This window comes from Homo sapiens, chromosome 19, assembly GCF_000001405.40.
Source record: "Homo sapiens chromosome 19, GRCh38.p14 Primary Assembly".
NCBI classification, from domain to species: domain Eukaryota; kingdom Metazoa; phylum Chordata; class Mammalia; order Primates; family Hominidae; genus Homo; species Homo sapiens.
In genome coordinates, this window is record NC_000019.10 from 51345069 (window position 1) to 51370735 (window position 25667).

At 52.9% G+C, this 25667-nt stretch overlaps 2 protein-coding genes across 9 annotated transcripts, besides 6 other annotated features; both read right to left on the bottom strand.

Annotated features, from left to right (window-relative positions):
- ETFB (electron transfer flavoprotein subunit beta) lies at positions 87-21320 on the bottom strand. Of its 3 annotated transcripts, none has more exons than NM_001985.3 (6): positions 21202-21320; positions 9082-9240; positions 8064-8222; positions 5261-5323; positions 1832-1990; positions 101-313 (listed from the first exon to the last, which is right to left on the bottom strand). In NM_001985.3, the coding sequence occupies exons 1-6, from the start codon at positions 21256-21258 to the stop codon at positions 143-145; spliced, it is 768 nt and encodes a 255-aa protein (NP_001976.1). In that variant the 5' UTR covers positions 21259-21320; the 3' UTR covers positions 101-142. The 3 variants fall into 3 exon arrangements, with proteins under 3 accessions (NP_001014763.1, NP_001976.1, XP_024307186.1); XM_024451418.2 differs by lacking the exon at positions 21202-21320 and adding an exon at positions 20961-21061; NM_001014763.1 differs by lacking the exon at positions 21202-21320 and having other exon boundaries at positions 87-313; positions 9082-9774.
- Positions 20927-21886: an enhancer, noted in NCBI's record as "H3K27ac-H3K4me1 hESC enhancer chr19:51869249-51870208 (GRCh37/hg19 assembly coordinates)". NCBI's record gives its function as "activates a minimal SCP1, AML or CMV promoter by ChIP-STARR-seq in naive H9 embryonic stem cells {active_cell/tissue: H9 hESC(naive)}" and the evidence as "EXISTENCE:reporter gene assay evidence [ECO:0000049][PMID:30033119]".
- CLDND2 (claudin domain containing 2) lies at positions 21671-23935 on the bottom strand. Of its 6 annotated transcripts, none has more exons than XM_047438140.1 (5): positions 23893-23935; positions 23341-23519; positions 22818-22958; positions 22389-22508; positions 22030-22147 (listed from the first exon to the last, which is right to left on the bottom strand). In XM_047438140.1, exons 2-5 carry the CDS (start codon positions 23507-23509, stop codon positions 22074-22076), a joined length of 504 nt encoding a protein of 167 aa, XP_047294096.1. In that variant the 5' UTR covers positions 23510-23519; positions 23893-23935; the 3' UTR covers positions 22030-22073. The 6 variants fall into 6 exon arrangements, with proteins under 6 accessions (XP_047294094.1, XP_047294093.1, XP_047294096.1 ...); XM_047438139.1 differs by having other exon boundaries at positions 23880-23935; XM_047438138.1 differs by having other exon boundaries at positions 21671-22508.
- Positions 22116-22165: a silencer, noted in NCBI's record as "silent region_10985". NCBI's record gives its function as "represses an Ori minimal core promoter by ATAC-STARR-seq in GM12878 lymphoblastoid cells {active_cell/tissue: GM12878}" and the evidence as "EXISTENCE:reporter gene assay evidence [ECO:0000049][PMID:35858748]".
- Positions 22436-22765: a silencer, noted in NCBI's record as "silent region_10986". NCBI's record gives its function as "represses an Ori minimal core promoter by ATAC-STARR-seq in GM12878 lymphoblastoid cells {active_cell/tissue: GM12878}" and the evidence as "EXISTENCE:reporter gene assay evidence [ECO:0000049][PMID:35858748]".
- Positions 22845-23804: an enhancer, noted in NCBI's record as "H3K27ac-H3K4me1 hESC enhancer chr19:51871167-51872126 (GRCh37/hg19 assembly coordinates)". NCBI's record gives its function as "activates a minimal SCP1, AML or CMV promoter by ChIP-STARR-seq in naive H9 embryonic stem cells {active_cell/tissue: H9 hESC(naive)}" and the evidence as "EXISTENCE:reporter gene assay evidence [ECO:0000049][PMID:30033119]".
- Positions 22946-23045: an enhancer, noted in NCBI's record as "active region_15013". NCBI's record gives its function as "activates an Ori minimal core promoter by ATAC-STARR-seq in GM12878 lymphoblastoid cells {active_cell/tissue: GM12878}" and the evidence as "EXISTENCE:reporter gene assay evidence [ECO:0000049][PMID:35858748]".
- Positions 23456-23505: an enhancer, noted in NCBI's record as "active region_15014". NCBI's record gives its function as "activates an Ori minimal core promoter by ATAC-STARR-seq in GM12878 lymphoblastoid cells {active_cell/tissue: GM12878}" and the evidence as "EXISTENCE:reporter gene assay evidence [ECO:0000049][PMID:35858748]".

Sequence of the window (25667 nt, forward strand, 5' to 3'; positions counted from 1 at the left end):
CATGGGCAGGGACTGGATCCACAGGGCCTGGCACACAAAAGACTCAAGTAAATGTTGAATGAACCAAATAATGGGTCTCTAGGAAATAAGTTAACAGAGATAGATGTTGAGAGTCAGTTTTATTGCCATCTCTGGGAGGGGCTCAAATCCGCCCAATCTCCTTCAGCTTGGCCACCAGGTCCTCAGTGGTCTCCACCTTGACGCCGGCCGTGCGCTGGGGCGGGTCCTCCACACTGATCACAGAGAGCTTGGAGGTCAGGTCCACACCCAGGTCCCCAGGCTTGATCACCTCGATCTTCTTCTTCTTGGCTTTCTGCACATGGGAAGCCATTGTTCACAGGGCTGTGGAACTCCTGCCACCCTTCCTGCCACCTCCTTCCCATGGGTGCCAGGCCTGCAGACCAGTCCCATGGGCTGAACCCTCTGGACCCACCCACTGGCCAGGACACGCGAAACTTCTCACAGGGCCACACCTGGTGTGGACAACTCCTGCTGGCTAGGAGGCCCTGGGAGGCCCAACTACTGCAGCAGTCCTCCTTTAGGTAACCAAATCAGGAAGCCCTTCACTGGCTGCAACAGAGTGGCAAACCCATCCTTTTGGTAGTAATGACTCAGTGGACTTTTGGTTGAGATGGCATGCTGAAGGCTCCCAATAGGCTGAGATGATGCACTGAACCCTCCCTATAGACTGAGATGATGCGCTGAACCCTCCCTATAGGCTGAGATGATGCGCTGAACCCTCCCTATAGGCTGAGATGATGCGCTGAACCCTCCCTATAGGCTGAGATGATGCGCTGAACCCTCCCTATAGGCTGAGATGATGCGCTGAACCCTCCCTATAGGCTGAGATGATGCGCTGAACCCTCCCTATAGACTGAGATGATGCGCAGAACCCTCCCTATAGGCTGAGATGATGCGCTGAACCCTCCCTATAGGCTGAGATGATGCGCTGAACCCTCCCTATAGGCTGAGATGATGCGCTGAACCCTGCCTATAGACTGAGATGATGCGCTGAACCCTCCCTATAGGCTGAGATGATGCGCAGAACCCTCCCTATAGGTTGAGATGATGCGCTGAACCCTCCCTATAGACTGAGATGATGTGCTGAACCCTCCCTATAGACTGAGATGATGCGCAGAACCCTCCCTATAGGTTGAGATGATGCGCTGAACCCTCCCTATAGGCTGAGATGATGCGCTGAACCCTCCCTATAGGCTGAGATGATGTAGTGAACACTCTGTAATGGCTGAAATGACTCATTGAACCCTCCCCATTAGTTGAGATGATCCAGTGAACCCTCCCTGTTGGCTGAGATGAATATTCTCTATTGGCGGAGATGACCCACTAAACTGTTAATATTGGCCAAGATGACCCAGCGAACCCATCTACTGGCCATGATGATTAGTGAACTCTACCTGTTAGCCAAGAGACCCCATGCACCCTTCCTAGTTAACTAAGATGATCTACATGGTAACTTCACATTGGCAAAAATTACCAAGGGGACCCTCCCTAATGAACCTAGATGACCCAGTGAACTTGTTCCACTGGCTGGAATGACAAAGGGAACACCTTCTGCTGCCCAGCGAAGGCTTTCTACTGGCCTAGATACCAGCAAGCCCTCCCTGCTAGCCAAAGCAGCCCCCATGAACTCTCAGTATTGGCAGAGATGACCCAGCAAACTCTCTCTATCAGCCAAACTCCAGGTGACGGCTTCCTGTGCACGAGACCTCCTTTGGATCCTTCCCTCCCCACGTGCGACCACCGGGGGGCACTGGGCTGGCAATGTGCTTGCCACCCCCAGGCCCTCAGTGCCCGCTGGCCAGGGGCTCACCATGATGTTGGGCAGCGTGGCGTAGCGGGGCTCGTTGAGCCTCAGGTCAGCTGTCACCACAGCTGGCAGCTTCAGGCGCAGGGTCTCCAGGCCCCCATCGATCTCCCGCTCCACTTTCAACTTGTCCCCCTCCAGCGTCACCTGGGAGGCGAATGTGCCCTGGGGAGGGACAGTGTAGGAGGAGAGTGGGTGAGGCTAATTCAGGTCCGACCCGAGCAGTCTGCTTATGCCACTACTGAGTACACGCATGGACTAGTGAATGAATGAGGGAGCGAACAATGCAGGGTCCCATGAGGTTTAGAATCGAGCTTGTACACCTGGGAGAGGGTCTTTTTCCTTTCCCTGAGAGCCACGGTGTATGTCCTGATGTCCCATGTCCTGATGCTGCCAGTGAGGCCTCCCTGCCTTCCTGACAGGGAACATGTACTGAGTGCTGAGCCCTGTGCTAAGCAACTGATGTATCAAGTCATCGAATCCTCGCAGGAACTTTATGAGGTAAATGTTATTATCCCCACTTTACAGATGAGAGAAACTGAGGCAGCAAGATGCTGAGTTACACGCCCACTGCCACCCACAGCTGGTAAATCCAAAAGCTGACAATCTGGCTCCCAACGGCCCCCCGTGAGGCCCCTCCGCTGGGCAGACAACAGAACTGTGTGTGTCCACACCAGTCCTTAAACCACCTTCTGGGACCCCGTCCTCTAGCCAGGTCCCTTTGCCTCTCAGTCCTGAATCAACATTTCCTCCCCTGGTAACTGATGCCACCTACACTCCTCTTTGTCTAACGACCTTTGTCCCTGTCCACTTATTAACTGGACACATTTTTCAGGTCTTAGTGTGAACATCACCTCCCTTCATTCACAACCTCCTCCTAGTGCCCTTATGAACCTGCCCCTGGAGACACACTGTGAACACGACCAGTGAAGCACCAGCTTGGGTGGGCTCATATTCTGCCAGGGAAGACAACCAGTCACCAGGGAAAAACACACACACACAAATGAGATCATTTCCAATCAGAAGGAATAAGAAGAAAATAAGACACATGATATGAGAGCAAGAAGGGCGCACGTTGGAGAAGCTAGTCAGACAGTGGTAAATGCTTTGAAGATAAAACAGGATAATGGTTTTGAATGTGTTGTCCCATCCAGTAGCCACTGGCTGCGTGTGGCTGTCCAGCCAGTGCAGCTGAGGAATGAATTTTTACATTTTATTTAAATTTAAATACTGATAATTTGGCCAGGCGCAGTGGTTCATGCCTGTAATCCCAGCACTTTGAGGGGCCAAGGCGGGTGGATCACTTGAGGTCAGGAGTTCAAGACCAGCCTGGCCAACATGGCGAAACCCTGTCTCTACTAAAAATACAAAAATTATCCAGGTATGGTGATGCACGCTTGTAATCCGATCTACTCGGGAGGCTGAGGCAGGAGAATCGCTTAAATTCGGGAGGCGGAGGCTGCAGTGAGCCAAGATCGCGCCACTGCACTCCAGTCTGGGGACAGAACAAGACTCCACCTCAAAAAAATAAAAATAAATAAATACTGAGAATTCAAGACACATTATCATGATTGTGGTGATGATTTCATGGATGTAACACATATCAAAACTTAAATTTTGGAGGGCTGAGGTGAGCAGCTTGCTTGAGCCCAGGAGTTAAAGACCAGCTTGGGCAACATAGTGAGACCCCCATCTCTATCTAAATAAAAGAGTTTAAGAAAAGCAAACTTAACAAATTGTGCAACTTAGATATGTGCGGTTTATTGTAGGTAAATAACTCAACGAAGCTGTTTAAAAAAAAAACAAAAACAAACAAACAAACAAACAAAAAAACACAGATACCCAATGCAGTTACTGGAAATGCAGTTACTAGAAAACTTTTAAGTTTGTTTTGAACAACTTGGGTGTGTAAATCTATTTCAACTGTCATCTTTAGGAATGTGTTTCTCATAGAAATTTAGCACCTGAATTGAGATGTGCTGTAAATATAAAATACATGCTGAATTTTGAAGATTTAGTACAAAGAAAATCCAAAAAACGTAAAATACAGATGGTCCCTGACTTATGATGGTTTGAATTAAGATTTTTCAGTTTTCCGATGATGTGACAGTGATAAACATTCAGTAGAAACCATACTGCCAGTGTCCGTACAACCATTCCGTTTTTTTAGTTCCAGTACAGTATTTGATAAATTACATGGGATATTTAGCACTTTATTATAAAATGTGCTTTATGTTAGATTATTTTACCCCACTGTAGGCTAACGTTAAGTGTTGTGACATGTTTAAGGTAGGCTGGGCTCAGCTATGATATTTGGTAGATTAAGAATATTAAATGCATTCTCTCAGTTATAATATTTTCAATTTATGATGGATTTATCAGGACGTAACCCCATTGCTTGTAGAGCATATGTATCTTAATATTTTTATGTTGATTACATGTTAAAATAATATTTTAGATATAATGGGGTGAAATAAAATATAATTTTGTCTGTTTCTTTTTACTTTTTTATGTAGCTGTGAAAAATTTTAAATTTGTCTATGTGCCTTGCTTCTTTTTTTTTTTTTCTTTTGAGACAGGGTTTCCCTCTTTCACCTAGGCTGGAGTACAGTGGTATGATCACAGCTCACTGCAGTCTTGACCTCCTGAACTCAAGGGATCCTCCCACCTCAGCCTCCTGAGGCTGGTACTACAGGCATGTGCCATCACACCCAGCTAACTTTTCTTTTTTGGTAGAGATGGGGTCTAACTATGTTGCCAAGGCTGGTCTCGAACTCCTGGGCTCAAGTAATCCTCCCACCGTGGCCTCCCAAAGTGCTAGGACTACAGGTGTGAGCCACTGTGCCAAGCCTGCATTTCTTTTTTCTTTTTTTGAGACGGAGCCTCCCTCTGTTGCCAGGCTGGAGTGCAGTGGCGTGCGATCTTGCCTCACTGTAACCTCCGCCTCCCAAGTTCAAGCAATTCTCCCTCAGCCCCCTGAGTAGCTGAGACTACAGGCGCACGCCACCACACCCAGCTAATTTTTAAATTTTTAGTGGAGACGAGGTTTCAACATGTTGACCAGGCTGGTCTCAAACTCCTCCTGACCTCAAGTAATCCACCTGCCTCGGCCTCCCAAAGTGCTGGGATTACAGGCATGACTCACCATGCCTGGCCCCAGCCTGCATTTCTATTGGACTGGCAGAGATGGGGACTGGGGAACCTAGAGTTGAGCGGGTGGGCATGAGTATTTCACGTAGGATGGCAAGGAAGGCCCCTTTGAAGAGGTGATACCTCAGCAGAGACCTCAAGGAGGGGAACAAGAAAGCCATGAGGCAATCCGAGGGAACAGTGTTCCAGGAGGAGAGAACAGCAAATGCAAAGGCCTTGAGGCAGAAATGAAGTTTGAGGGATGAGGGCCTGGCCCTCAGCAGGTGCTCCCCACTCCAGTCTCACCTGTGGCCAGTCAAGAAATCCAGCTGTCATCTGCCCTGTCTGGTTACAGTCATCATCGATGGCCTGAATGGGGAGAGACAGAAGACTGTATGACAATCAGTGGAGCTCATGGACCATTCAGGCCTCTGTCTAGAACAGGGGTTGGCAAACTTTTTCTTTCTTTTTTTTCTTTTTGAGACGGAGTCTTGCTCTGTCACCCAGGCTGGAGTGCAATGGTACAATCTTGGCTCACTGCAACCTCCGCCTCTTGGGTTCAAGCAATTCTCCTGCCTCAGCCTCCTGAGTAGCTGGGATTACAGGCACCCAACACCACGCCCAGCTAATTTTTGTATTTTCAGTAGAGACAGGGTTTCAACATGTTGGCCAGGCTGGTCTTGAACTGCTGACCTCAGATGATCCCCCAAAGCTCTGGGATTACAGGCATGAGTCACCGCAGCCAGTCGGGTTGGCAAACCTTTTCTATGGTGGAACAGATGTAGTAAATATCTCAGGCTCTGCAGGTCATACGGTCTCTGTCACGGTGACTCAGCGCTGCTGTTGTAGCACACAGGCAGCCATAAATAATATGTAAATGAATGTATGTGGTGATGTTCCAATAAAGCTTTATTTACAAATCAGAGGTCGCTCTGGGCCATAGTTCACTGACTTTTGGTCTAGAACGATCCCCTCACTTGGGCCCAGAGATAAGCAGCCACTTGTCCAGGGACATGTGGGGCCACCTGGCATCCCTGTCGTCAAGTCTCTGCCCTCTGTATAAAGCCTCTCAGGAGTCCCACCCTATGTGGCCCCTGGGCAGCTGCATGAACAGGGTCTGGGCCAGCAAGGACATTCTAGCCCCAGCCCAGTGATTGGTTCAGGGAGGGGCACATGACTCAAGCTGCACCAAAGAAGAGTCAGCCCTGGGAGTTTGCTGGGGCCCTTGGGAAAGATGCTCCTTTCTTTCTGCTGGGGTCACTGGGCTGGTGGGATCTGAGCCTGGAGATGCAGACAGTGAAGACAAGGTAGAGGGGAGCCTACAGCTCATATGTGACCCTGGATCAAGCTGTGCCTGAAGCCCCTGATTTACGTGAGATAATAAATTCGCTTTCTGGCTTAAGCCAGTTTGAGTTGTGAATCTGCTTCCTAGAACAAACAGCATCCTGACCAGTTCATCCGGCATTTCCCCAGCTGGAGGCCCTGGCCCCAGGAACTGTCCCTGGCCCAGGACAGGTAGGACATCGGAGTCTGAGAACGACCAGCAAATGCAGGGGGCTGCAAAGGCCATGCTTCCAGCACCTCGGCCTCTGCAGCCCCACCCAGGCCCTGCCTTTTTGGCCTGTTCTCCGGGTAGGCCCTTCGGCCACAGTTGACTGATCTGTACTCTGATGCCCCTGCTGTTGATAATCTCTCTCTGTTTTCTTCTGACTTTCTCAGGGCTGGGCAGGACACCCAGTGACCTACCTGGACCCATCAGCCTCCTCTTTGTCCCAGAACTGACCTGGCCCTGGGATCCCCATCTCTCTCCGGGGGCCCCAGCTCTACCTGAGCCTGCTGTGCTCTGCTGTCTCCGTGCTCTGCTTGACATACCTTGCAGTCTTTGGCCTTCCTTCTCAGCCTCATCCCTAATTCCCTGCCTCTTCTCACTCCCATCTGCCTGTGGCTCTTCTGACGTCCCTCTTCTGCCCCTTCCCTGGTTGAGGCCATGAGGTTTGCCCTCAAATGAGATGAGCTACCCCTGAGCAGAGGTGGTGCCCGAGGGTCTCCTGGGGGAACAGATGAGCTCCATGTACCCCTATCTCAGTGGGGAGCACCAGTGTGGCAGGGAAGGTTCTGGTCGGGTCCTCACCCAGCCCTAACCTCCTTCCCTAACTCCTGGCCTCCAATTTCCCATTCCAGTCCATTCTCAAAGCCCAGGGGGGCTCTTTCTGCACCTAGTGCTGATCCCACCCCTCTTCTGCTCATAGAACTCCCATAGCTCCCCAGTGCCCTCCAAAATTCTCAAGTCTTTGTTTCAAGCCCAGGCCTGTCTCCTGAACCTGCATCGATGTCTCCTGGGCTCTTCACACTCCCCTTGTAGGATCCTCCTCTAACCTCCTGTTCTTCCTGGGTTTCCTACCTGTGTTACCAAGGCAGACCCAGGCACTGTCCTTGCCTCCTCCCTGCCCTCCCTCCCCATGCTAAGCCCAGTCTCTCCTGCCACATCATGTCTCTGCTCTGTCCTGTCACCTTTGGCTGAGGCCTCATTCTCCCCCATGTGACCATCACCTCGGCCTCCCAGCCTCTAAACTCACCCAAAAGGATCTTTCTTCTTTTTTTCTTTTTGAGACAGAGTCTCGCTCTGCTCCCAGGCAGGAGTGCAGTGGTGCCTGGAGTGCAGTGGTGCGATCTTGTATCACTGCAACCTCCGCCTCCCAGGTTCCAGTGATTCTCATGCCTCAGCCTCCCAAGTAGCTGGGATTACAGGCAGGTGATACCACACCCGGCTAATTTTTATATTTTTAGAAGAGATGGGGTTTCACCATGTTGGCCACGCTAATCTCAAACTCTCGACCTCAAGTGATCCACTGGCCTCGGCCTCCCAAAGTGCTGAGATTACAGGCGTAAACCACCGTGCCTGGCCCAAGAGGATCTTTCTAACACCCAGAGGGACTCTGTCCTCCCTGCTCAAACTCTCTGTCAGAAGGGTCAGCAAAGTCCCAAGCTGCTCAGCCTGGAGTGGTGAATGCCCTGGGCCTGGCCAGCTGCTGTCTCACCCCGTATCTCCACCACCCTCCTCCCGAGCAGGGATGAGCAAGGGGGCACAGGGAGGGCTGACCACAGCTACCTGTTTGCCCAGCAGCACCAGGTCCACCTTCTCCTTCTCTGCCAGCTTGGCCAGGACCCGAGCCACCTGCAGGGGACCCAAGCGTTCTGCTTCTGCTGGGGGCACCTCCACGTGGATACCTCGGTCTGCACCCATGGCCAGGGCGGTACGAATCGTCTCCTGCCAAGGACAGAGGGGCTTGACTTGGCTGCTATCCTCAGGGGGACCTAGGAGTCTGGCTCGCAGCCCCTCCTTCCTCAGACCCAGGAGTCCAGGGCCCCATCCCCTCCTTCCTCAGACCCAGGAGTCCAGGCCCCCATCCCCTCCTTCCTCAGACCCAGGAGTCCGGGCCCCCATCCCCTCCTTCCTCAGACCCAGGAGTCCGGGCCCCCATCCCCTCCTTCCTCAGACCCAGGAGTCCGGGCCCCCATCCCCTCCTTCCTCAGACCCAGGAGTCCGGGCCCCCATCCCCTCCTTCCTCAGACCCAGGAGTCCGGGCCCCCATCCCCTCCTTCCTCAGACCCAGGAGTCCGGGCCCCCATCCCCTCCTTCTTCAGACCCAGGAGTCCAGGCCCCCATCCCCTCCTTCCTCAGACCCAGGAATCCAGGCTATCAGCCCATCCTCCCTCAGACCCAGGGGTCCAGACTTCCAGCCTCCTCCTCCCTCAGACCCAGGAGTCCAGGTCCCAGCCCCTCCTTCCTCAGACCCAGGAGTCCAGGGCCCCATCCCCTCCTTCCTCAGACCCAGGAATCCAGGCCCCCATCCCCTTCTTCCTCAGACCCAGGAGTCCAGGGCCCCATCCCCTCCTTCCTCAGACCCAAGAGTCCAGGCCCCCAGCCCCTCCTTCCTCAGACCCAGGAGTCCAGGCCCCCATCCCCTTCTTCCTCAGACCCAGGAATCCAGGCTATCAGCCCATCCTCCCTCAGACCCAGGGGTCCAGACTTCCAGCCTCCTCCTCCCTCAGACCCAGGAGTCCAGGTCCCAGCCCCTCCTCCGTCAGACCCAGGAGTCCAGCCCCCTCCCCAAGACCTTCATCACCTGGCACTGTGCAGGCCCACAGCTGACGGCGATGACCTCCTTCACCAGCTTCTTCTCCTTGAGCCGCACAGCCTCCTCCACCGCGATCTCACAGAAGGGGTTCATGGAGTGCTTCACACCATCCGTGACCACACCGGTCCTGTCAGGCTTCACTCGGATCTGCCCAGCAGGAGGGGAAGGGGTGGGGTCAGGAGGAAACAGGCAAGAAGGTGGGGGCCTCAGCGCCAACCCTCTCCCAGGCTGGATGAGGACAACGACAGCCTGGAAAGGGGCAGGGCCTTGTCCGGGGTCACACAGCTCCAGGGACAGAACTGGGTTAGAGTTTGTAGGCAGGGGCAGGTCACCCTGTCTCCTTCTCTCATCCAGCCATTCCTGGGTACCAGGGACATCTGACTTGATCATCCCTACTGTTGTCACTGCTCCTCTCAGGCCTGAAAGAGTGTTTCTCAAATTTACAGTATTTATGGTAACCCACAGTGAGAGGTACATTTTACTGTATCTCCAAGTGTATATAAATACATAATACACTGATACATAAATACAAATGAGGAGAAGAAAAGGAAAAACCAGTTAGGTAGACAGTTAAGGGTGGTCCTCAGAGGAGCAGCCTGCCTGAAAAATCACAGCTACAGGCAACAATAGAGCAGCCTGGGGAAAACTCAAGCTGCCCAGCACAGAAGCCTTTTGTTCTTTGCGTGACTGACAGGCTCCCAGGAAAAGTTCCCTCCCCTTTTCAGGCACGTACATGGTGGTCTCTGTGGGAACTTGCACGGGGAGGGGCGGAGCTTACCTAAAACAAACCCACGGTTACAGAAACAAGAGAAGCGGAGCTTTGTGCTTGCCTAAAGACGTACCCACAACTACATAGATAACGGAGAGTTATGCAGATAGCTTTACAGATAAGATACTCAAACAGCTACAGAGATGAAAGGAGTTTCTTATAAAAGCTTTTGGTGTCTTTTGCTGTGCAGAAGCTCTTTAGTTTAACCATCAGAGTGAACAGGCAACCTACAGAATGGGAGAAAATTTTTGCAGCCTACTCATCTGACAAATGGCTAATATCCAGAATCTACAATGAACTCAAACAAATGTACAAGAAAAAAACAAACAACCCCATCAAAAAGTGGGCGAAGGATATGAATAGACACTTCTCAAAAGAAGACATTTATGCAGCCAAAAAACACATGAAAAATGCTCATCATCACTGGCCATCAGAGAAATGCAAATCAAAATCACAATGAGATACCGTCTCACACCAGTTAGAACGGCGATCATTAAAAAGTCAGGAAAGAACAGGTGCTGGAGAGGATGTGGAGAAAAAGGAACACTTTTACACTGTTGGTGGGACTGTAAACTAGTTCAACCATTGTGGAAGTCGGTGTGGTGATTCCTCAGGGATCTAGAACTAGAAATACCATTTGACCCAGCCATCCTATTACTGGGTATATACCCAAAGGATTATAAATCATGCTGCTATAAAGACACATGCACACATATGTTTATTGCGGCACTATTCACAATAGTAAAGACTTGGAACCAACCCAAATGTCCAACAATGATAGACTGGATTAAGAAAATGTGGCACATATACACCATGGAATACTATGCAGCCATAAACAATGATGAGTTCATGTCCTTTGTAGGGACATGGATGAAGCTGGAAACCATCATTCTCAGCAAACTATCGCAAGGACAGAAAACCAAACAACGCATGTTCTCACTCATAGGTGGGAATTGAACAATGAGAACACATGGACACAGGAAGGGGAACATCACACACCGGGGACTGTCGTGGGGTGGGGGGAGGGGGGAGGGATAGCATTAGGAGATATACCTAATGCTAAAGGACGAGTTACTGGGTGCAGCACACCAACATGGCACATATAAACACATGTAACAAACCTGTACGTTGTGCACATGTATCCTAAAACTTAAAGTATAATAATAAAAAATAAATAAATAAATAATTTTTTAAAAAAAAAGCTTTTGGAATCAACTGTAAAAATGGCAACCCGCTTGGGCTTCCCTCTCCTCTGTGGAGAGCTTTCTTCTTTTGCTTATTAAACTTTCGCTCCAACCTCACCTTTTGGGTGGTCTATGCTCTTTAATTCTCTTGGTTGTGAAACGAGCTCGGATAACACCTTAGACAACGTGACCAGTGACCCTGACCTATTTCACAAATGCCACTGCAGTGTAAGGGTCAGTGACCAATACTGACCCTGCCTACACACACACCATACTCTGACATTTTCTACCCTTTTTCGGAAAAATGCCAGCCCTCTGCCTGGATGTCATGATCACACATGGTCACAACCTAATTTGGAAAACACCAGCATGAAAGACCTCTTTGCTAAACAGACAAGGGAGGTAAGGGAGGTGGGTGGCAAACCCCACCCATTTGCTTCTGCACATCATTTTTGTCTCTCCTGGGCCCCACTGTGTGCCTGGCTCTGAGCTGGATCCTGGGGACACCATCATGTGCCAGGGAGAGAGGCTTCCGGTGTAGACCAGGGTGTAGCGTGAACCACTAACCACTCTCCTATTAGTTTCTCTCGGCTGCCGTAACAAATCACCATATATTTGGTGGCTTAGAATCTTACAGCTCTGGAGGCCAGAAGTCCAAAGTCAGTGTCACCAGGGTGAGACCAAGGGGTCTGCAGGCCCCGGGAGGAACACGTTTCTTGCCTCCTCCAGCTTCTGCTGACACTCCCTGGCTTGTGGCTGCATCGCTTTATCTTCAATGCCAGCATCCTCAGCTCTGTCTTCACGTGGCCTTCTCCTCTCTCTGCGTGTCTAGTCTCCCTCTGTCTCTCTCTTATAAGGACTCTTGAGATGGCATTCAGGGCCCACCTAAATAATCCAGGATAATGCCCCCATCTCAAGATGCTTAATTTAATCACATCTGCAAAGACCCTGTTTCTAATTTCTTTTTTTTTTTTTTTTAGATGGGCTCTCGCTCTGTCGCCCAGGCTGGAGTACAGTGGTGAAATCTCGGCTCACTGCAACCTCTGCCTCCCGGGTTCAAGCAATTTGCCTGCCTCAGCCTCCCAAGTAGCTGGGATTACAGGCATGCATCACCACGCCTGGCTAATTTTTGTATTTTTAGTAGAGACAGGGTTTCACCATGTTGGCCAGGCTGGTCTTGAACTCCTGACCTCAGGTGATCTGCTCTCCTCGGCCTCCCAAAGTGCTGGGATTACAGGCATAAGCCAACATGGCCAGCCTGCAAAGACCCTGTTTCTAAGTGATTTCCCCTTCTCAGGTGCCAGGGATTGAAACCTGGCTGTTTTGGAGGGCTATTTTATTTCTTGGCCCACCACAATCCTTTTTTTCTTTCTTTCTTTTTTTTTTTTTTTTTGAGATGGAGTCTTGCTCTGTTGTCCAGGATGGAGAGCAGTGGCATGATCTCAGCTCATTGCAACCTCTGCCTCCCCAGTTCAAGCGATTCTCCTGCCTCAGCCTCCTGAGTAGCTGTGATTACAGGTGCCCACCACCACGCCCAGCTAATTTTTTGTATTTTTAATAGAGACAGGGTTTCACTATGTTGGCCAGGCTGGTCTCGAACTCCCGATCTCTGGTGATCCACCCACCTCGGCCTCTCAAAGGCAGGGGATTACAGGCGTGAGCCACCGCTCCTGGCCCAACCTGAGTTTTTATAAGGTCATTCTGGATTCTTGGTGGAGAAAATTGGAAAAGGATGAGAGGAAGTGGGGAGAGAGCTGGGTGGCTGTTTGTCACCAAAGTGAGAGGTGACAGTGGCTCAGACAGCTGTGACAGCAGAGACAGATGCAAGAGGTTTCTGGAGGTGCAACTGACAGGCCATGGTTCGTGATGGGAAGATGACACCAAAAAGGGGCTTCCAGTCAGTACATCAGCCAGAGCCGGGAAGACGGCGAGTTTGGTTTGGGGCACAAATTTTTAAAAAGCCTCCAGGGACATCCACAGAAGCCTTGCTAGGGAGCTGCCCCATTTGGCCTGGAGCCTGCCCTCTTCCTCTTCTCCCATGTGGCCGCCACCCAGGGCTTGGCCAGAGCAGATCTCGGGTGGCAGCTGAGCCTGGTGAGGACACTGGGATGCTCTTGCTATTTCCCTGCCCCTTTTTCTCTGGGGCTGTGGGTGTAACTGTTCCTCCCACAGGCAGGACAGAATCCGAGATGAGAAGGTGGGACCCATAAGGGGCTTCCCACTCTGGCTGTGCCTCATGGAGAGGGTAACATTAAAAGATGGAGGACTGAGACCGGGCGCAGTGGCTCCTGTCTGTAATCCCAGAAATTTGGGAGGCCAAGGTGGGAGGATCACTTGTGCCCAGGAGTTGGATACTAGCCTGGGCAACAGGTTCTACAAACAACAACAACAAAAACAAAAACAGCTGGGCGTGGTGGCTCATGCCTGTAATCCCAGCACTTTGGGAGGCCAAGGTGGGCGGATCACCTGAGGTCAAGAGTTCAAGACCAGCCTGGCCAACATGGCAAAACCCCATCTCTACTAAAAATAAAAATAAAATAAAAAATTAGCCGGGCATGGTAGTGCACGCCTGTAATTGCAGCTACTCAGAGGCTGGGGCAGGGAGAATTGCTTGAACCCAGGAGGTGGAGGTTGTAATGAGCCAAGATTGCGCCACGGCACTCCAGCCTGGGCGACAGAGCAAGACTCCGCCTCAAAACAAACAAACAAACAACAACAAAAAAAAAAAAAAAAAAACAGCCAGGTATGGTGGCACACACCTGTAGTCCCAGCTACTCAGGAGGCTGAGGCGGGAGGATCACCTGAGCCCAGGAGGTCAAGGGTGCAGTGAGCCGTGATCATGCCACTACATGTAACCTGGGTGACAGAGCAAGACCTCATCTCAAAAAAGAAAAAGAAAAAGAAAAAGGAGAAAGAGGAGAAGGAGCTGGAAGAGGAGAGGAAAGAGAAAGAACTGTTATTTTCATCTCTCTCGTTGCCCAGGCTGGAGTGCAGAGGTGCCACCTTGCCTTACTGCAACCTCCACCTCCCGGGCTCAGGTGATCCTCCCACTTCAGCCTCCCCAGTAGCTGGGACCACAGGCGGGCACCATCATGCCGGGCTAATTTTTTTTTTTTTACTTTTTGTAGAGAAAGGATTTCCCCGTGTTTCCCAGGCTGGTCTGGAACTCCTGGCCTAAAGTGATCCGCCTGCTTCAGCCTACCAAAGTGATGGGATTACAGGTGTGAGTCGCAGTGCCTGGCCTTTTTTCTTAAAAAAAAAAACACAACATAGGAGTTGCCCCTTTAAGACAGAAAAGAACCTCATCCACCCATCAGTAAGAGGCCCCAAGCTTCTTGCTGTGAGTCAGGGAGGCTTCTGAAGGGCCTCAAGCCACATCTTGCTCTTGCTCTGGCAGAACTCCCAGCCCTAAGCTCCTGATTCCCAGGCTCCTGACTCCTGAGGAGAAAGGGTAAGAACTTTCCAGACACACACACACACACGCACGCACACACACCTGAGGAAACAAACTAGCTCATCTTCTCAATTAAGCTTGAGTTGATTTTAAGCTTCAAAAACAGTTTAGTTATATTACATAAGTCAGGAAACAATGGTAGGGCTGAAAAATGATAGCTTGTTTGTTTTTTAAATAATGATGGCTCATGCCTGTAATCCCAGCACCTTAGGAGACTGAGGAAGGAGGATCACTGGAGCCCAGGATTTCAAGACCAGCCTGGGCAACATAGAGAGACTTCATCTCTACCAAAAAACAAAATTAGCAGGTCATGGTGGCGTGCACCTGTAGTCCCAGCTACTGAGGAGGCTGAGGTGGGAGGACGGCTTGAACCCAGGAGGGTCGAGGCTGCAGCGAGCTGTGACTGTACCACTCTAGCCTGGGTGACAGAGCTAGACCTTGTCTCAAAAAGAAAAAAAAAAAGTTTTATAATTGAGGTAAATCATTCAGCATTAAGTGCTGGCTTTCTCTTAAAGAGACGACATATCCACCAATATCAAAAACAGCCTCAAAGCTGGGCGTGGCGGCTCACACCTGTAATCCCAGCACTTTGTGGGGCTGAGGTGGGTGGATCACTTGTGGTCAGGAGTTCGAGACCAGCCTGGCCAACATGGTAAAACCCCATCTCTACTAAAAATACAAAAATTAGTCGAGCGTTTTAGCACATGCCTGTAATTCCAGCTAGTTGGGAGGCTGAGGGAGGAGAATCACTTGAACCCGGGAGGTGGAGGTTGCAGTGAGCAGGGATCACATCAATGCACTCCAGCCTGGGTGACAGACCAGATTCTATCTCAAAAAAAAAAAAAGAAAAGAAAAAAAAAATTTTTTTAAAAGCAGCACTGACCCATGCAGACAACGAGTCAAGGGTTTTATATGCATTAACTCGTTTGACCATCCTAGTAGCCTGTGAGGTTGGTTACTGCCATTACCTCTCATTTTACAGATGAGGCAACTGAGGCACAGAGAGGCCAAGTACCTTGGCCAGGGCCACTGAGCATGGAAGTGGCAGGACCACGGGTCTAACCCCAAATCTGTCTTGGGAACTGTGAGACTCTGAAAGAGGCTACGTGTGCCCACGGTGTTAGGAGAGCCAGTCTTCCTATTTGTTGTCCACTGCAGGCAAGAGGGATTTTCTTCTCTTCTCTTTTCTTTCTCTCTTTCTCTCTCTCTCTCTCTCTCTCTTTCTCTTTCTTTTTGATACAGAGTCTTGTTCTGTTGCCCAGGCTGGGGTGCAGTAGTATGATCTTGGCTCACTGCAAACTCCACCTTCTGGGTTCAAGCGATTCTCCTGCCTCAGCCTCCCCAGTAGCTGGGACTACAGGCGCCTGCCACCACGCCTGGCTAATTTTTTGTATTTTTAGTAGAGACAAGGTCTCACCGTGTTAGCCAGGATGGTCTCAATCTCCTAACCTTGTGATCCACCCGCCTCAGCCTCCCAAAGTGCTGAGATTACACGTGTGGGCCACCGCGCCCGGCCCACGCCTGGCTAATTTTTTTATTTTTAGTAGAGATGGGGTTTCGTCATGTTGGCCAGGCTGGTCTCGAACTCCTGACCTCAGGTGATCCGCCCACCTCGGCCTCCCAAAATGCTGGAATTACAGGTGTGAGCCACCACGCCCGGCCCAAGAGGGATTTTATAAAGTGATTTTCGACAGCTCTTCCTGAACCCCTGACACAGCTCAAGGACTTGTGTGGTTCTGTCCTCTAGGCTTTTCTGTCAAGCGAGTCCCTGGGCACGTGCTAGGGCACTCAGCAAGCAGGACAGCCAAGGCCAGGGAGCCACCCCAGTGACAGATCACTAACTCGGCGGGGGGCAGACAGAGAACTCGTCCCTGAGGTGACATGTGAGCCCCACGTGTGCCCTGTCAGACAAGGTGGCCTTGCTGAGAGCAGGAGGGGCAAGTGCGTGGAGCCCAAAGAGGAAAACCTGAAGAAACACCAGGCGCTCCCAGACGAGAGGGTGTGGCTGGTCGGGGTTGGGCCCCGAGATGGAAACACGTTTTCTGGGCCTGGAGTTTCTATCCTGTGGGGTCATCTCTAAGAAAATGAATCCCAGATAATGAATACAAAATTGCCCAGCCTCTCCTGGGTTTTTTTTTTTTTTTTTTTTTTTGTGAGACGGAGTCTCCCTCTGTCACCCAGGCTGGAGTGCAGTGGCACGATCTCGGTTCACTGCAACCTCCGCCTCCCTGGTTCAAGCGATTCTTCTGCCTCAGCCCCCCGAGTAGCTGGGACTACGGGCACGCGCCGCCATGCCCAGCTAATTTTTGTATTTTTAGTAGAGACAGAGTTTCACTCTGTTGGCTAGGATGGTCTTGAACTCCTGACCTCGTGATCCACCCACCTCAGCCTCCCAAAGTGTGTGTTTACAGGCGTGAGCCACCAGGCCCAGCCTTTCTCCTGGGGTCTTGAAAGAGGCCCTGAAGGTTAAGCTTCATCAGCTTCCTGTAAAATGTGCCCCTGAACAGGACAGGGTGTTACTGAGTTGCCAAATACCTATTAAAATGTTAGATACACGCACATACCCAGAAACATACACACAGCCGGACACACATACACACACACACACACACACACACACACACACACACACACACGAATACACTCTGAGCACAGCATTTGTTATGTTTTGAATAAATGACTAACTAAACATCCATTACTACTACTCCCAATAAAAACACTTATTGCAGCTGGTCACAGTGGCTCACACCTGTAATCCCAGCACGTTGGGAGGCTGAGGCGGGTGGATTACCTGAGGTCAGGAGGTCTAGACCAGCCTGGCTAACATAGCAAAACCTCGTTTCTACTAAAAATACAAAAATTAGCCAGGCGTGGTGGCTCACACGTGTAATCCCAGCTACTCAGGAGGCTGAGGCAGAGTTGCTTGAACCTGGGAAGTGGAGGTTCCAGTGAGCTGAGATCATGCCACTGCACTCCAGCCTGGGCAACAGAGATAGACTCCGTCTCAAAAAATAAAACAAAACAAACCACTGTGTGCCAGGCACTGTTCCAAGGGCTTATTTAATTTTCATTACAACTCAATAAAGTAGATAGTACCATCATCCCCATTGTACAGAGTAGAAAAATGAGGCTTAGAGTGGTGAAGCAATTTCCTCAAGGTCACACAGCAGGAAGTGGACGCAGGCGCTGGGCTTGGAGTCTGAGGTCTGCACTATTCTAGTAGTGAACCCACTGTCTCAGGAAGCAGTGACCACATCAAACTGTCTCCCCCACACCTGGAGCTCAAATTCCAGAAGGGGCGACAGACACCAGAGCAATCAATAAGTAAACAACACTGTGGATTACAAAGTGTCCACACCAGCTTCCCTCTGGGGACAAGCTGGGCTCTCAGAGGGTGCCCCTGCTCCCACCTCCTTCATGGAGAATGTGAGTCACTCCCTCCACTCAGTTAGGTTGGCTCCTTGAACTTTCATCTCTAGCAAACATACTTTCCTCTCCCTTTCTAGTTGCTAAGTATAGGGGAAAACACAGCAAAACACAGGGACCTGGGGCCTGTGATTTTAAGGAGGCAAGCAGGGAAGTCCTCCCAGAGAAGGTGATGTTTGAAAAGGAGGTGAAAGAGGTCAGGGAGTGAGCACGTGATTCTGGGAACAGAGGTGGATCAGACATGGCCCCTCTCTGCAGGGAGCTACCAGCCTGGGGATGATGGAGTAGGGCAGTGGGGAACATGGGGTAAACAGAGGATCCCAATCCAGTCTGGCGAGGGCTGATGGAAGCAAATCTAGGGACTGCAGAAGCCCCCAGGGATATACCAAGGCAACCTGAGGGTGTAGGGTCAGGGGCTTCCTGGAGGAGGCGATGCCAGGGAGAATCACTAAATTATTATTATTATTATTTTGAGACTGAGTCTAGCTCTGTCACCCAGGCTGGAGTACAGGGACACAATCCTGGCTCACTGCAACCTCTGCCTCCCAGGTTCAAGCGATTCTCCTGCCTCAGCCTCCCGAGTAGCTGGGACTACAGATACGTGCCACCATGCCTGGCTAATTTTTTTATTTTTAGGAGAGATGGGGTTTCACCATGTTGGCCTGGCTGGTCTCAAACTCCTGACCTCAACTGATCCACTCGCCTCAGCCTCACAAAGTGCAGGGATTAGAGGTGTGAGCCACCGCGCCTGGCCGAGAATCACTAGATTTTGATATAATCCATGAGTTGGAGTTGGGCAGGACAAAGGACAGAAAGCAGAGGTAGGAGGGTGGTGCTGGAAGAAGGCATGGAACGGGCAAGCCGCGGCCTGGTCTGTCAGGACAGGAGGAGCAGGTCACAGTGGCAGAAGCACAAAGGGTAAGGGAGGGTCCAAGGAGGGAAGTGGACGGCTGAAGCAGACCATGAAGAGGAGGCTGGACCACAAAGCATCCCAAATGCCAGGCAGAGGGGCTGCGACTCTGTCCTGAGGGTGCTGGGGAGCCACAGGCAGGCTGGGAGCAGGGGAGAGCAGGGTGAGCTCTGGGTGCAGAAAGGCCCCTAAGGCTGGGTAGAGGTGGGCTGAGAGGGAGAGACTGGGAGTGAGGGAGGACCCGGGTGAGGGTCCAGGTGAGACAATGACACCAAGAGACAATAGGGCAAGAAGGGTGGGGGGTGGAGAACTGACAGCTTTGGGAGAAGGGAAAGAGGGTGGGACAGTACCCAGGTCTAATCTGGTGTTTAGGAAGCTGGCAGGGTCTGAATCATTTATTTGTTCTGAAAAGGACATCAACAGACACATCCAGTGAGACAGGATGTAATGCAGGGAGCCCTGGGGCACTGCGGGAGGGGAAGGCAGCACCCTCTGGAAAGGACAGTAGCTGATTCAACGCGGCCTTCACGCTTCCCCTCTGTTCTCTCCCTGAGCACACCAGAGACATCCATGTGCCAGGCTCTGTGCTGAGTGATGCTGGGACCAGAGCTGAGTCAAACGTGGGCCTGCACCATGGGGGAGACGGATCCAATCCCAGACATGCCAGGCGTGGAAGGCCAGGGCTGGGATGGAGAGAAGAGGCCCAGGGAGCTGTAGGACTCCAAAGATGTGACAGTAACGAACAGTCAGAGCAGGGAGGAAACCAAGTGTTGGGTCCCAGGACCCCAAGAGGAATGTGTCTCAAAAGGGCTACAGGTGACATCCCTGTCATGTGCTGCCAGAGGCATCATTAGGACAGGGGGCATTGAGGGAGATGGGAGAGCAGAGTCTAGAGCCAGACTTGCCCGGGGTTTCGATCGTAACTCTGCCACTTACTGGCTGGGAGATCTGACAGGCCTCAGTTTCCTCATCTATCCAATGGAATTAATAATACAAAGGGTCGGCCAGGCACGGTGGCTCACACCTGTAATCCCAGCACTTTGGGGGGCCGAGGCAGGCGGGTGGATCACCTGAGGTCTGGAGTTTGAGACCAGCCTGACCAACATGGTGAAACCCCATCTCTACTAAAAATACAAAAAATTAGCCAGGTGTGGTGGCACATGCCTGTAATCCCAGCTACCTGGGAGGCTGAGGTAGGAGAATTGCTTGAACTCGGGAGGCTGAGGTTGCAGTGAGCCAAGACTGCGCCATTGCACTCCAGCCTGGGCAAAAAGAGCAAAACTCCGTCTCAAAAAATAAAAATAAATAATAAATAATACAAAGGGTACTGAAAGGACTGAATGGGTTAATCTCTGCAAAGGACTTGGAACGATGCCTGCCACGTAAGTACCCGCTAAATGCTGGCTGCTATCATCACTGACACTTTCATGCTCAAGTCTGGCTCCTGTACCCTCTTCCCCAGCCCACTCCCTAAGCAGGCAGGGGCAGTATCAGTGTCAACTTTGTGACCCTGGTTTTGCCCACCCTGAGGCCTCCAGGGTGCCAGGCCCTGCGCTAGGTAATGCTGGGGACACGGAGGTAAGTCCCCAGGCTGATGGGAAGGACAGACATGGACAGACAGTCACCATCTTCAGTCCAGTTCAGGCCAAGCATTGAGAGAAACGGGCCTGAGAGACCGTGTCTGATTCACCTCTGTCCACACCAGCTTCCCTCTGGGGACAACAAGCCAGGCGCTGAGAGCACCCTCCCCCACCTCTTTCATGGAGAATGTGAGCTACCCCCAGCTCAGTCAGGTTGGCTCCTTGAACTTTCATCTCTAGCAAACACACTTCTCTCTCCCTAGCTAGAGCCTCCTGGCTCACCCTGTGGCTATGGAGGGTGGAAAGCAGCTTCTGGGGCCCCACAGGACCCTGTCTGACTCCCTCTATAGCACATTTCGGGTAATATAAGAGTACAATGGTAAGTAATGCAGCCTAGTGGGTGAAAGCAGTCAGAGGAACCTGGATAGAACTCTCGGCTCTGCCCTTCTCTAGCTGGGTGACCTCTCTGTGCCTCAGTTTCTCCGTGCATTAAACAGGGACCGTGACTTCTTCCAGTGGGTAAGAAATAGAGAAAGCAACTCACTCTGAACAGTTATCAAGAGAGTGAATCCAGAACGAGGGAAAAGAGAACATGGCCGTGACCCCGGAGGGATCGGATGTTAGAACTTCACTCTTGGATTTTTGCCCTCAGGTGACTTTGACGTTTGGGGGTTAAAGCGGCAGAGGTCGGGGGTTACGAGAAGACCCCCACCCAGTGTGCGCTCGTGGCCCCGGAAGCACACGGCTGCGGGACTCAGGGATGTGGGAGAGGGGGGCCCGATCACCTTCACGGCGTAGTCGATGACCCTCTTGACAGCTACGAGCACGCGCAGCTCCGCCATCTTCCCGCCGCAGCCACTTACAGGGTCAGCCCGCACCCTCAGCGGCTCAGTCCAGAAGCCCCACCACCCCCGCCCCCCGCGCCCCTCTCTGCGCCTGCGCGCAGCACGGTCAGCCAGTCAACCGCTGCAGAGCCCGCCTCCCCGACAGAGGACCAATCGAGAGGCCGGAAGGAAGGGAGGTGTGGCAAGCAATGCAAACCAATGGGAAGCGGATCTCGGGGAGCGAGCGGGACCTGGAGAGAGAAGGAAAGGCCTGGCGGAGAGGGCAGGGCAGAGAACTAGGGGAAAGGTCGTGCACTGGAGGGAAGCGCGCCCGGAGTTTATAGATCCTCCCGGTCCTATAAACACTTCCCGGTATCCCCGGATCTGCTCTCCCTCTCCAGATCCCCCACTTCTTCCCGGCCTCTCCAAGTCGCGGTACTCGTATTCCCACGCCTCTGAATCCTCGCGCGTCGGTCTCTCCACTCTCTCCATCCCCGTGTTCCCTGTCCCTTCCATATCCGTATCCTCCCCTGTCCGTGTCTCTACTTCACCTCCATGTCGTCCCCACAGCCTCTCCACACCCTCTCCAAAGGCCCACGTCCCCTCCTGGCCCCGCCCCTCCCACATGTCCCTGTTCCCATCCCAATCCATGGAGACTTGTGTCTCCATGTCTGTGTCTCCCTGTCTCCACGTTCCCTATGAGTTCATGTCCTTATGTCTTCCCTGAGCCTCTATGCAACCCCGTGCCTGCGTCCCCACGACCCGCAGAAAAGCACGCGGAGCCGCAGCGCTAAAAAAAGCCGTTCCTTTATTCTGCCCCAGGCAGGCTGCAGTCACAGACACACGGGGAATCCACTGATGGCGTCGGTGCTCTGCATGATCATGTCTGCCAGCAGAAAGCAGAAGCCTGGGGGGACGGGGGTGCGGAGCAGGGAGAGGAAGGTGGGCCCTGGGGCGGATGGCCGGGAGGGCCCCGGGGACTGGGGTTTGGGGCTCCAAGGGGGTCTCTGCCGGGTCTGCGGGAGTCGTTAGTGTGTTGGGGAGTCCCCGAGAGGTCCCCGGGGTTTCCTGGGAGGGCAGCTGGGGAGCCTCTGGGGTGAGGGTCTTCTGGGCAGTCTCCTCCACCCTCTTCCCGCTGTCCAGTTTACCCGCGAGAATTGAGAAGGGTAAGGCCAGCCACCCAGAAAAATAGGACCAAGAGAAGAAGACGTTGTTCTTCCACGCATTCTTCACGGTGTAGCCTATCAAGGCGGTCAGCAGCAGCAGTCCTGGGCCCCGCCCAGCCGCAAGATGAGCTAGCTGGGCCTGGTGGGGGCTGCACCCAGGCCACGCCCCTTCAGACCCGCCCCCTTCTATCAGACCACGCCTATCGCCTCTCAGCCCGCCCCTGGCCCAGGCCCCTTCCTGCTCCTCCCGCTCTGAACTCTGTCTCGAGCCCCGCCCACCTCTCTCGGCTTCTTCCAGCCCTGCCCCTCGGATCCTGGCCGAGTACCTCAAGCCCCTCCCCTGGCGACCAGGCCCCTCCATCACCCAGGGCCCGCCCCTGCCTGCCCGCCTGGGGCGGTCTGCAGTCTCACCGCCGAGGAAGAGGAAGGCGCTCGTGGTCTGGCCCCGCAGCGACTCGCCCTCGTCGCACCGAATCCGCAGTCCCATCACCATGCCCACCACGCCGACACCCACCGCCAGCACCATGCACGCCACAGTCACCGCCAGCGTGGCTGGGGAGAGCGGGCGCATCAGCCCCCGCGGGCGCCGCCCCAGTCACTACGGGTTCGGCCGCAACCGGAAGCTCTCCCGTCTCCTGCCCCCAACCCGGTGTGTGGCCAGGAGCCGAGCTCCACCGACCGGGAGTCAGGCGTTTGGATTGAGACTTGGAGGTCACATCAGGACCTGCGGTTACTGCCGCTACCAGGACGGGGAGGGGGTCGGGGACAAGCCCACAAGTCGAGGGGCGGGGTTCGTGGCGGCCTCGGCCGACAAGGGACAGCTGCAACTGAGCCCGGGGTGGAAGGGGTGGGCGTCTCGCCATGGGCCCAGCTGTGTGTCCCGAGCCCTGGGGGTCTGAAATGCCCTCTGACATCTGGGCGGGCGGAGCCTCACTCTGGCAGGGGATGCTGGAGCAGATGCCGTGGTTGCATTCCTGCCACAGGCCACTGTGGCCCTCTTGTTGGCGGGTCCAGTAGTTGGTGGCCGTGGAGAGCACCATGAGGACGTTGGCCACGAGGCTGAGCAGAATGCCCCCACTCTGGAGGCTCCGCTTCACCCCCATGCCACTGAGGCTGCAGCCGGGGGCCACAAGGGCAGGATGGGCCCAGGCCTTTCCTACCCCGAGGCCCCCAGCTGAGGAGCCCGCTTCCTCCACACTCCTCCCCTGGTACTCCTGCCTGAGGTCCCTGCTTCTGGGGACCTGGAGACCCCCCTCCCTCAACAACCCTGCCTGAGGATCCACAACCTCCTCCCTCCAGACCTCGTTCCCCTTACTGGAGACCTTGAGACTTCCCCTGAGAGGCCTCTGAGACCTTCACCACAGGCTTTGCTGTGAGGAACCTGTCTTCCCAGAGACCTCCCCCGACAGCCGAACGCCCTTTCAGCCCAGCCTGTTCAATGTCCTCCCCAGACACCCCTCCACACAGGCCCACCTAAGTGACTCACACCCAGTGCCCTAGGGCTCCTTAGACACAGAGCCCAGAGAGACGGGGGGAGGGAGGCTGGGTCTCTGTGAGGCCAGGGGTTCCAGAACCCCCTCCCCCAGTGGCTGTTTAAAGGGATAATCACTCCCCCCACCACCATCGCATACACCCCCGCAGCTCTCAACTGAGTGACTGCTTAGATTCAGATCTCAGCTTTGGGGGCCGTTACATGATAGGCCGAGTCCTTCTTTTATCATTATTATCATTATTATTTTTTGAGATGGAGTCTTGCTCTGTCACCCAGGCTGGAGCGCAGTGGCACGATCTCGGCTCACTGCAACCTCCACCTCCTGGGTTCAAGCAATTCTTCTGCCTCAGCCTCACAAGTAGCTGGGACTGCAGGCGCACACCACCACATCTGGCTAATTTTTGTATTTTTAGTAGAGACGGGGTTTCACCATATTGGCCAGGCTGGTCTTGGACTCCTGACCTTGTGATCTGCCTGCCTCAGCCTCCCAAAGTGCTGGGATTACAGGCGTGAGCCATCTCTCTCTCCCAGGCTGGAGTGCAGTGGCACCATCACAGCTCACTGCAGCCTTGAACTCCTGGGCTCAAGGAAACCTCCTGCCTCGGCCTCCTGAGTAGCTGGGACTACAGGCATGTGCCACCACACCTGGCTAATTTTCTTAAGATTTTTTGTAGAGATGGGGTCTTGCTATGTTGCCCAATCTGATCTCAAACTCTTGGGCTCAAGCGATCCTCCTACCTTGGCCTCCCAAAATGCTGACATTATGGATGTGAGCCACCACTCCCAGCCCTTTCTTAGAAACTTCTCTTTCCCTTGGCCGGGTGCGCAGTGGCTCACGCCTGTAATCCCAGCACTTTAGGAGGCCGAGGCGGGCAGATCACCTGAAGTCAGGGGTTTGAGACAAGCCTGACCAACATGGCAAAACCCCGTCTCTACTAAAAATACAAAAATTAGCCAGGCTAGCCGGGGGTGATGGCAGGTGCCTATAATCCCAGCTACTGGGGATGCGAGGCAGGAGAATCACTTGAACCCGGGAGGTGGAGGTTGCAGTTAGCTGAGATCGCGCCATTGCATTCTAGCCTGGGCGACAGAGCAAGACTCCATCTCAAAAAAAAAAAAAAAAAGACAAAATTAGCCAGGTATGGTGGCGCACGCCTGTAATCCCAGCTACTCAAGAGGCTGAGGGAGGAGAATTGCTTGAACCCGGGAGGCAGAGGTTGCAGTGAGCCAAGATCACACCACTGCACTCCAGCCTGGGTGATAGAACAAGACTCCGTCTCAAAAAAAAAAAACAACCTTCTCTTCCCTTGACATTCTAGGCACCGCAGAAGCTCTCCAGGTCCCCAGCTGTCTGACTGCAGACTTCTGCTCCTCTGCCTTCTCCCCTTCACTTGTAAATCTGGGTATCCCTTGAAGCTCCACCCTGCACTCTCTTGCCAGGCAAGCCTCCTCACGGCCAAAGTTTCAGTGCTCCTTAATGCTCCATCCAAAACTCCATCTCCAACCCAAGGTCTCTCCCCTGAGCCTGACTCAAGTTCTCACCTGCTCCTGGCTGCCCCTCAGGGCCTTAATAGTCAACCATATTCCAACTGAGCTTAGTGTCTTCCACCATATTAGGGATGGCCCTGCCATCCCATCCAGTTCATCGAGCCAGACCCTTGGGCACTGTCCTCACCTTCTTCTTGCCCTTCACCCTGAAAAGCCTTGGGTCCCTAAGTCCTGCTCCTCCTGCCCCTGAATCTGTCTGGCTCATTCCCTCCTTTCCTGGT

Coding starts and splice junctions, on each gene's coding strand:
- CLDND2 (XM_047438138.1), bottom strand. CDS start 23,509: ATGGGGGTGAAGCGGAGCCTCCAGAGTGGGGGCATTCTGCTCAGCCTC. Junction 22,959..23,340: donor CTCCAGCATCCCCTGCCAGA/GTGAGGCTCCGC, acceptor CGCTCTCCCCAG/CCACGCTGGCGGTGACTGTG. Junction 22,509..22,817: donor CGCCTTCCTCTTCCTCGGCG/GTGAGACTGCAG, acceptor GGCGGGGCCCAG/GACTGCTGCTGCTGACCGCC.
- ETFB (NM_001014763.1), bottom strand. CDS start 9,570: ATGTACCTCTCACTGTGGGTTACCATAAATACTGTAAATTTGAGAAAC. Junction 5,324..8,063: donor TGGTGCTGCTGGGCAAACAG/GTAGCTGTGGTC, acceptor CTCCCCATTCAG/GCCATCGATGATGACTGTAA. Junction 1,991..5,260: donor GATTTCTTGACTGGCCACAG/GTGAGACTGGAG, acceptor GTCCCTCCCCAG/GGCACATTCGCCTCCCAGGT.